Consider the following 10,672-nt stretch of genomic DNA (forward strand, 5'->3'; position numbering starts at 1 on the left):
AATGAATGGTTTTTAAAAATAGGCACAGGCCGCGCACAGTGGCTCACGCCTGTAATCCTTTGGGAGGCCGAGGCGAGTGGATCACCTGAGGTCAGGAGTTTGAGACCAGCCTGGCCAACATAGCGAAACCCCGACTCTACTAAAAATACAAAAATTAGCTGGGCGTGGTGGCACATGCCTCTTATGCCAGCTACTTGGGAGGCTGAGGAAGGAGAATTGCTTGGACCTGGGAGTTGGAGGTTGCAGTGAGCCGAGATTGCACCACTGCACTCCAGCCTGTGCAAAAGGGAGTGAGACTCCATCTCAAAAAAAAAAAAAAAGGCACAAAAGCAAAGCTTGTTTAATAAAAAATTGATAGTGCAGATAAATCAATAACAGAATAAAAAGCCTGAGGGACGTTATCAAGAAAAATTTTATAAAGTACCTGGCTCCGTTGGGATTACTGGAAAACTTTTTTTAAAACTTCAAAATCAGGCCAGGCACCGTGGCTCTCACCTATAATCCTTACACTTTGGGAGGCCAAGGCAGGCATATCACTTGAGGCCAGGAGTTCAAGACCAGCCTGGCTAACACAGTGAAATCCTCACCCCTACTGAAAATACAAAAATTAGCCAGGCATGATGGCAGGTGCCTGTAATCCCAGCTACTCAGGAGGCTGAGGCAGGAGAATCACTAGAACCCAGGAGGCAGAGGTTGCAGTGAACAAAAATCATTCCACTGCACTCCAGCCTGGTGAGACCCTGTCTCAAAAACAAAAACAAACCAAAAGACAAAAACAAAAAAACTTCAAAATCATATAATTATCACATTATTAAATATATATTGTTTGACACACAAAAAATGGCAGGCTACAACATTCAGTTTTATATACTTTATAAACAATATTATGGTGATCAATAATATTTTCAGCCTTATCTCTTATCATCTTAATAATATTACATTGTTTTACAATTTGTAAACATCAAATAAACAGAATTTTATATTCTGCTTTTATCACATAACACCTCTACAACCCTTTCAAGTTGTTATGCTTTTAGTTATATGTTACATTTCATCAAGAAGATGCTTAACACAATGTTGTATGTAGAAACTATTTTTAAAAGATGCATATTAATGAACTAGGTACTTCTCAATTGTTGAAATTGCTCTCAATTCATACTTAACCATAAATAATAGTCATAAATCATTTACTCAACAAATATTTATTGGAAATCTATTATTTGCCTAGCACTGTGCTAAATCCAGAAAAGACAGTGGTGAACAAAACAAACCTGGTCCCTGTTCTTGAGGAGGTTGACAGTAAACAAGTGACTCCTATGGACAAAAGTTTAGAATGTCAGGGGAGCTTAGAATGGAAACACTGCCCTCACCTGGCAGTTGGAGAGGGAATGGGTTCAGAGAAGGATTTCCAGAAAAAGTAACATTTGAGTTAAGATCTGAAGAATGCAAATGAGGTGAAGAGTTAATTTGGTGAAGAAGGGGGGGAAGAATTTTCTAGACAGAAGTAAGAAGGAGTATGTCAAGTTCAAAAGACTGACAGCACAGAGCTGGAAGGATAGAGGCAGGAGATGAGGTTGGAACCATGCTCAGGTGTCCAGCTGTGCATTGTCTGGTAAGCCACTTTAAGGGTTCCTGGCTTTACCCTAAGAGTAATGGGAAGCTGGCCAGACACCATAGCTCACGCCTGTAATCCCAGCACTTTGGGAGGCCGAGGCGGGCAGATCACCTGAGGTCAGGAGTTCGAGACCAGCCTGGCCAACATAGTGAAACCTCATCTCTACTAAAAATACAAAAATTAACCAGGCTGCACCTGTAGTCCCAGCTACTTGGGAGGCTGAGGCACGAGAATTGCTTTAACCTGGGAGGCAAAGTTTGCAGTGAGTCAAAATCATGCCACTGCACTCCAGGCTGGGCAACAGAAGGAGACTCTGTCTCAAAAGAAAGGCCTGGGCACGGTGTCTCATGCCTGTGATCCCAGCACTTTGGGAGGCCCTGGTGGGCAGATCATGAGGTCAAGAGATGGAGACCATCCTGGCTAACACGGTGAAACCCCATCTCTACTAAAAATACAAAAAATTAGCCGGGCATGGTGGCACATGCCTGCAGTCCCAGCTACTCGGGAGGCTGAGGCAGGAGAATCTCTTGAACCCGGGAAGCGGAGGTTGCAGTGAGCTGAGATCGTCCCACTGCACTCCAGCCTGGCAACAGAGCAAGACTCCGTCTCAAAAAAAACAAAAAGTAATGGGAAGCCATTGGAGGTTGTTAAGCAGGAAGACACAGCATCAGATGAACATTTTTCAAAGTCCTTTCTAGCTGAAGCAGGTTAGAGCAGTCATGGAAAAGACCTTTCAGGATATGGTTTCAGCAGCCCAAATGAGAACAGATGGTGATGTGGACTAAGGTGGGGACAGTGGAGAAGTAGGCAGAGTTGAGAGAGATTTAGAATTAAGCCGGCAGAGTTGAGAGAGATTTAGAAGTAAGCCGAGGGACCTGGCAATTGATGGGAATTCATGTCTATTATTTCAATTGCTCCTCTTCCATCTCAATCCAATGGATAAGAACCAGAATGGGCCCAGTCACTGGCGGGAGCTGTTTATGAGATACTGCTTCTCACCCCAGATTAAAAACCATAGCTTAGCCAAACATTGAAAGGGAGAAAGGATCCAAATGTGGAGAGAGAACCTGGATATATGCCAAAGCTTAAGCAGCCAAAAGCAGAAATCTCTATCAAGGCCTGGGATCAAGAGTTCTGATACAGGAAGAGCTAATCAATCAAGAGCAAATAAAAACAAAGGGCATAGTAGGAAGGTTAATGCTTGTGGTGCTCCTCATGAGCTGAAAGAGCTAACATTTATTGAGCCAGGAACTGTACCAAAAACTTTACATACATTATCTCATTGCTTTCTCACAACAAATACTATTATCTTTATTTTACCAATGAGGAAACTGAGGTTGGGGGACATATTCAGAGTCATATGGGTGAGGCTCAAATCCAGGAGTATTTGATTCCAAATGCTAGTGTTTCTAATCAAAACCTAGACTCTCTCTTTCTCCTTTTTTTTTTTTTTTTTTAGATGGAGTTTCACTCTTGTTGCCCAGGCTGGAGTGCAATGGCGTGATCTCGGCTCACCACAACCTCCACCTCCCAGGTTCAAGCAATTCTCCTGCCTCAGCCTCCCTAGTAGCTGGGATTACAGACATGTGCCACCTTGCCTAGCTAATTTTTTTTTTTTTATTTTTAGTAGTGACGGGGTTTCTCCACGTTGTTCAGGCTGGTCTTGAACTCCCGACCTCAGGTGATCCGCCCACCTCAGGCTCCCAAAGTGCTGGGATTACAGCACCGCACCCAGCCTTTTTTTTTTTTTAAAGCAACAGGGTCTTGCTCTGTCATCCAGGCTGGAGTGCAGTGGTGCAGTCATAGCTCACTGCAGCCTTCACCACCCGAACTCAAGCAGTCCTCCCACCTCAGCCTCCCAAGTAGCTGGGACTACAGGTGTACGCCACCATGCCTGGCTAGCTTTTTTTGTTTTTGTTTTTGAGATGGATTCTTGCTCTGCCGCCAAGGCTCGAAGGCAGTGGCAGGATCTCAGCTAACCGCACCCTCCACCTCCTGGGTTCAAGTGATCTTTCCACCTCAGCCTCCTGAGTAGCTGGAATGACAGGCACGCACCACCACTCCCAGGTAATTTTTGTATTTTTAGTAGAGACAGGGTTTTACCATGTTGGCCAGGCTGGTCTTGAACTCCTGACCTCAAATGATCCACCTTCCTCGGCCTCCCAAAGTGCTGGGATTACAGGCGTGAGCCACCACACCCGGCCCTGGCTAGTTTGTTTGTTTGTTTGTTTGTTTGTTTGTTTGTTTTGTAGAGATGGGGTCTTGCTATGTTATCCAGGCTGTTCTCAAACTTCTGGGCTCAAGCGATCTTCCCACCTTGGTCTCCCAAAGTGCTGGGATTACAGGCATGAGCAACCACATCCGGCCAAAAATCTAGACTCTTAATCATTGTGCAAACTGGTCTCCCAAATTATTAGGCCTCTTGGAAGACAAGAGAGTTTTCATTACTCTGGTAAGAATAACCATTCTGGAATAATCTCCCTGGTATTTGTGATAGCATTTATTTTATAAAACACATTTGATAACAAGAAAAACATAGGTCTATTTCTGTTAAACACAGGCAAGCAAAAGTCACATGTAAAAACACAGCTAGACAGAACATCTAGGGCCTTCACAAGTATCTGCTTTAATTAATGTTGGTAAACAAAAAGACCCAATGCAGTGACACATTTGCAAACATTATATCTAAATCCAACTAGATCACAGTTTCCCAGTCAATATAGCTTAAGTTTCTCTGAAAACAAAATAGTTTATATATTACGAAAAACAAAAAAACACAGTTGGGCTCAGTGGCTCATGCATGTAATCCCAGCACTTTGGGAGGCTAAGGTGGGCAGATTGCTTGAGCCCAGGAGTTTGAGACCAGTCTGAGCAAGGAAATCCAGTCTCTACAAAATATAAAAAAATTAGCTGGGTGTGGTGGTGCATGGTCTATAGTCCCAGCTCCTCGAGAGTCTGAGACGGGAGGATCACTTGAGCCTAGGGAGGTTGAGACTGCAGTGAGCCACGATTGCATCACTGCACTCCAGCCTGGGTGACAGAGTGAGAGCCTGTCTCAAAAAAAAAAAAATAAGAAAAATAAGAAACCCCTTTTCATAGTGATGAAGCAATCAGCTAACTGCTAAAGAATCTTCACAGGCGAGGCTGGGTACGGTGGCTAATGTCTATAATCCCAGCACATTGGGAGGCCAAGGTGGGACGATTACTTGAGGTCAGGAGTTTGAAACCAGCCTGGTCAATCTAGCAAGACTTCCTCTCTACAGAAACGAAAAAAATTAGCCAGGCACCCTCACGCTCAGTGCCTGTAGTCCCCGCACTTTCAAAGGCTGAAGCAGGAGGATCCTTTGAGCCCTGGAAGGTCGAAGCTGCAGTGAGTTGTGATCGCACCACTGCACGACAGCCTGGGCGAAAGAGTGAGAACCTGTCTCAAAAAAAAAAGAGAATCTTCACAGGCATCCCTTCCTCCCAAGTCTCCTCACTTGTCTTATCTGAAGGTTTGTTCCCCAGAACTATGAGAACCCTCTACATCTCTTTCTCTCAGCCCAGCCAGGTTCCTCTGGGCTTGAGTCCTACATCCCTGGCCTCAGCTACAAGGTGAGTACAGTCTAAGGACCAGCTCCTCTCATTGTCTATTTCACTTATTTATTAAAAGTGTAGACCTAAAGTGTCTACTTCATCCTCTCTTGCCTAAAGTGGGTATATCTGGAAAAGTCTGTAGCCACAGAGGAGATTTTCATCTTAGAGTTATGAGGTCTCTTTGAGAGACTCTCCATTCCATTGAATAAGCATGGCTTAGATCTCTCTGGACAATCTGTACTTACCTTGGGAGTTAAAAGATTCCACAGGGTTGAGATGCTGAAAAGATGAGAAAGTTCCAGGAGCTCTGATCTACTTAGGAGTCCCTGCAGTTTGGCTGAGGACAGTGGTAATCCTCAAAGGCTAGAAATGGCTTTCAAATCTGAGCGCTCTGCAGAACAAGTCCAGGAAAAATGCTGCTTTGGTATTTCTGAGAATGAAACTAGAAGGTTGCCGCCTTTTTAAAGTTTCCATTTCTCAGAATTCTCCTACTCATTTTAGGCCTGCCATTCTAGCCTCAAGGGGGGAATATGTGCTATTTCCTGTTTATCAATAGACTAAGTGGGCCAAAGACTAGTTCTGGCTAAAGACTAAAGAAACTTTATCAGAAGAAATGCTTCAAACACTTTGGAGAATAATGCTACAAAAAAGCTTTTTTGGATACACACCAAACTGTTATTAAGGATTACTTTCTCAGAAGTAGAACTGGAGAGGAAGAAGATGGAAAGGGAGGAGAGAATTGTTACTTTGTACAGTAGGCCTGAGTTACTCAACAAATATTTTTTATTGGCAAGGAAAAGGGAAAAAACAAAACAAAAAGAAACAGTGAAAGAGCCAGAAAGGAAATTAAACAGTGCATCTCACTGACTTTCTCATTCAATTTTTATAGTAGCCTCCATAATCCTAATAGTTGTTGTAATTAGAGCCGAGATGGATTCACTGCTATTAATTTAGCTGCTAATACTGTTGCTATTGTTCTGATCAAGTTTCTGCTACTTTTTGACCTGCTGTCTCCCTCAACAGCTGTAGGAGTCACAATTCCCTTGAGCTCTTGTTGGTTTCTTGTTCCATTTTTTTTGGGTTTCTATCCTTATACATTGAAAAAATTATTACAGTGTGGATTTAGCAATCATTTTTAGCTATAAGAAAAGGTGCTGTGCACTAGAGGGAATTGAATTAGAGATGTCATTCGTTAATCAGATAATTAGTTCCCAATCTTGGCTGCTTGTTCAAATCTTTTGGCATGCTTTTTAAAAATTCAGATGCTAAGGTCCTTCCCCAGACATTCTGAATTATACTGTCAAGTAGTGGTGCAATATCAGGAGGTAGAGACATATCACATATACACAACACACACATATAGGCATAAACATAAAGACAGACACAAATAGATCTTATAATTTTCATTTAAAATCTTAGCCATGATTAGGTATACATAAACACAAAATTTAATAATTTTGATAAAAATTGATTCTCATCTTTGCCTATTAATATTTTCTTTCGATCTCATCTTTCCATAGACATTTGTTTAGGATGACAGCTTTCTTTTAAAAAAAAATCCTTTTAGATATAAAAGTTCAAATCTTCAAAGGTATACCTGTCTTAATTGTGACTCAAAACCAGTAAGTTTTTATGGCTTAAAACCTATAAGCCTTTTATCACTTAACCATGGATGTAAGAGACATCCCCAAGGAGGATGCAAACCATGCAGCCCTTTTGCCGGGCGCGGTGGCTCACACCTATAATCTCAGTATTTTGGGAGGCTGCGGCGGGCAGATTACTTGAGGTTAGGAGTTCAAGACCAGCCTGGCTAATATGGTGAAACCCTGTCTCTACAAAAAATACAAAAATTAGCCAGGCCTGGTGGTGCATGTCAGAAATTTCAGGTACTCGCGAGACTGAGGCGGGAGAATCACTTGAGCCCGGGAGGCGGAGGTTACAGTGACCAAGATCACGCCACTGCACTCCAACGTGGGCGACAGAATGAAACCCTGTACTCAAAAAAAAAGAAAGAAAGAAAGAAAGAAAGAAAGAAAGAAAGAAAGAAAGAAAGAAAGAAAGAAAGAAAGAAAAGAAAAATGAAGGTTCAGGTGACAAACGCCTCTTATGGACTGGGACCTTTTATTAAGACAAACTTCTCTGAGAGCTGGCACAGGCGGACGAAAATGCTGCTTATCTTAGATTTTGGGTTCCAGGCTGGTGGCCTGATGCAAACCAGCAACACTTGCGCCCTCTGGCGGCGAGGACCAGAGAGACTATTTTAAAGCCAAGCTCTCGGGACATAAAACGAAGGAAGAATCGAATCTCATGATTTTCTTCCTTATGACAAACAACACAAACGACAGAGACAAGGACTTTTTATTATTCCTTGGAGGCTGTGGATCATACCCAGACCAAATTTATAAAAGTTACAATTCAAAGAACTCATTCTTACAAATGTTTTTCTCCTGCCAATCTGAATTTGGAAAGGAAGAGACAAGGAAAATTTACGTTCTCCTCTCTACAGGGCACTGCAGATAGATATGTCGGGGGACTGACTTTGGTAAGAATTCTTACCTTCTGCAGGTTCTGTCAGCTCTTCCGGGATCCTACCCACAGGCTCTGAAGTGAGTGGCGCATCCCAACCTTCTAGGGTCCCATTTTCATTGCCAGAAACCACAAGGGAGGCAAAATTTTACCTCTGTTCTCTTAGGGATTTTGGCTAGGCCTGAGAATTAACTTGACCTATGACAGATTAACAAGAGAAAAACATACAGATTTTTACATATAGGAGCCCCTATAGAAAATTCAAGACCTAAAGAAGTGCCGAAACCTAAATGCTTGTATAGTAGGGTGAGCAAAGAGTACAACTGCAGAAAAGTAATTACATTAAAGTATGTGTGAAGGCAAAGTAAGATAAGGGTTATTTTAGCAAGGTCTGTTTGTACAGAATTATCCTGGGTATGACCCCCGTCAAAGAATGTTTTTTATTCTCCTGGTACAGGGAGGGCATCTTTCACGTGGGACTTTTATCTCCTGTTTTAAGGAAGAAAAAAAGATTAAGATTCACTTTTTGCATCTGCTATTTTCTTTTTCTTTTTATTATTATTTCAACAGTTTTGGGGGGAACAGGTGGTGTTTGGTTACATGGATAAATTCTTCAGCAGTAATTTCTGAGATTTTGGTGCACCCATCACCCGAGCAGTGTACACTGCACCCAGCGTGTAGCCTTTTATCCCTCATCCTCCTCCCACCCTTCCCCCAAGTCCTCAGAGTCTATTATTTTTATGCCTTTGGGTCCTCATATGCATCTGCTATTTTCAAGTGCCTTTAGCTCCAAATAATCCTTATGCCAAAATGGCATATTTGGGGGCAACACATTCTGCCACCCTTCAGTACCTTTGGCCAAACAGAGGTTTGCTTTCCAGACCTCCTGGGTTCTGTGACTGGCAACTGCACAAGCAGGGCACGCTCACATGCCATCTTCCCACAGTGACCCGTGGGGAAGTGACGAAAGAAGGCTGCTTCTGTCCTAATTGTGTTGCTCTGTTGTACAGTTCCCTAAAATGTCTGCCCCCACCCCACCCCACCCTACCCCATATTTTATGGAATTAGGTGAAGAGCTTTTTCCTCCTTTACTTGCCCATCATCCTCTTCTTCCCTGTAGGCATGAGTTCCTGCTGTTCATGAAACCAATTGGAAAGTAAGGGGCACTACTGCACTGATAATCTTGGCTCCTTGCTCAAAGGCACGGAGAACCACCTCTCCCTAACCTGCAATGTGGGAAATGTCTCACATACTATATGGGAGACTGCAGAGAAGAAAGGGGTCACCAGAACAATAAACCCAAACAGGATATACAATGGAATGTACGCTATGATTACAACTCTGCTAAAATATATCTGCCAGTGGACTAGCCCAGGAAACGAACAAGCAAAAGTGAAAGCAACTGCATGATTCAGCGGTAATAATAGGGATTGAATTTTCTTTTGTGGTTCTCTATTTTCTAATCTTTCTATAATGTAATTATATAGAACTTGTAATGACAGGTATATCTTTTATGTTTCTTGGTATACAAAATGCTCTCCTCTGAACGTTTCTTATTATGTAAGTCATTTAAGTAATCATATTGATTTTGTAGAAAAATTTTAGAGGCTAAAAATACCATCAGTATTCTAAGTGTATTTGATCCAAGCCTCAGCATAAAATCAAATGAATTACTGTCAACACAGAAGGAGACTTACGTCTTTAACTTTGATGTACAAACAGAAGAACATAGAAGCTAACATGGACTTTGGAGTCAGACAGACATGAGTTCAGATCTCAGATTCAGAACTTACTAGTTCTGTGATCTTGGGTAAGGTATTATTATTCATTTGCTTATTTATTTACTTATTTATTTATTTTTAGAGATAGAGTCTTGTGGTGTTATCCAGGCTGGAGTGTAGTGGTATGATCATGGCTCACTGTAACCTTGAACTCCTGGGCCTAGGCAATCTTTCCACCTTAGTCTCCCAAGTAGCTGGACTACAAGTGTGTGCCACCACGCTCTGCTAATTTAGAAAAAAAAATTATAGAGACAGAGTCTCTCTATATTGCCCAGGCTGATCTCAAACTCCTGGCTTCAAGCAGTCCTTCAGCTTTGGCCTCCTAAGGTGCTGGGATCGCAGGCATGAGCCATCGAAACTGGCCCTAAGTATTTATCTTTTAAGTCATAGCCTCCTCAGCTGTAAATTGGAACTAGTAAGATCTAAAATTTATTGAGAGCTTTCCACATATTATGCTTTATTTAAATGTCTTATTTATTTATTTGTTTGTTTATTTATTTTTTGAGACAGATTCTCACTCTATCATCCAGGCTGGAGTGCAGTGGCGCGATCTTGGCTCACTGCAACCTCTGCCTCCCGGGCTCAAGTGATTCCTCTGCCTCAGCCTCCCAAGTAGCTGGGATTACAGGTGTGTGCCACCACACCCAGCTAATTGTTTTGTATTTTTAGTAGACACAGAGTTTCACCATGTTGGCCAGGCTGGTCTTGAACTCCCAACCTCAAGTGATCTGCCCGCCTTGGCCTCCCAAAGTGCTGGAATTTCAGGCGTGAACCACCGTGCCTGGGCAATGTCATATTTATTTATTATTTTTAGTTTTTTAGACAGTATCATGCCCTGTTCCCCAAGCTGCAGTGTAGTGGCCCCATCATGGCTTTCTGTAGCCTCGACCCCCTGGGTTCAATTGATCCTCCCACCTCAGCCCCCAAAGTAGCTGGGACTAGTGGCACGCACCACCATGCCTGACTAATTTTTGGGGTTTGTTTTGTGGAGATGGGGTTTCACCATGTTACCCAGGCTGGTCTCAAACTCTTGGGCTCAAGTGATCCAACTACCTCAACTTCTCAAAATGCTGGGTTTACAGCTGTGAGCCACAGTGGTCGGCCTAAATGTAGTATTAACTTTCAATCTTCATCTTTACCTGAAGACGTAGGTATGAATTTTACCTCTATTTTA

The 10,672-nt window shown here is 42.6% G+C and overlaps 1 protein-coding gene across 2 annotated transcripts in view, besides 3 other annotated features; it reads right to left on the reverse strand.

The window, feature by feature from the left end:
- Nucleotides 1-5,542, reverse strand: part of SLFN12L (schlafen family member 12 like) — a 73,425-nt gene extending 67,883 nt beyond the window's left edge. For both annotated transcript variants that reach the window (NM_001363830.2, NM_001195790.3), the window contains exon 1: nt 5,437-5,542. The gene's annotated coding sequence lies outside the window, so the exon portion shown is untranslated. The remainder of the gene's footprint in view (nt 1-5,436) is intronic.
- Nucleotides 4,870-4,949: an enhancer, noted in NCBI's record as "active region_12073". NCBI's record gives its function as "activates an Ori minimal core promoter by ATAC-STARR-seq in GM12878 lymphoblastoid cells {active_cell/tissue: GM12878}" and the evidence as "EXISTENCE:reporter gene assay evidence [ECO:0000049][PMID:35858748]".
- Nucleotides 8,882-8,961: an enhancer, noted in NCBI's record as "active region_12074". NCBI's record gives its function as "activates an Ori minimal core promoter by ATAC-STARR-seq in GM12878 lymphoblastoid cells {active_cell/tissue: GM12878}" and the evidence as "EXISTENCE:reporter gene assay evidence [ECO:0000049][PMID:35858748]".
- Nucleotides 9,002-9,191: an enhancer, noted in NCBI's record as "active region_12075". NCBI's record gives its function as "activates an Ori minimal core promoter by ATAC-STARR-seq in GM12878 lymphoblastoid cells {active_cell/tissue: GM12878}" and the evidence as "EXISTENCE:reporter gene assay evidence [ECO:0000049][PMID:35858748]".

Source organism: Homo sapiens, chromosome 17, assembly GCF_000001405.40.
Source record: "Homo sapiens chromosome 17, GRCh38.p14 Primary Assembly".
NCBI lineage: Eukaryota > Metazoa > Chordata > Mammalia > Primates > Hominidae > Homo > Homo sapiens.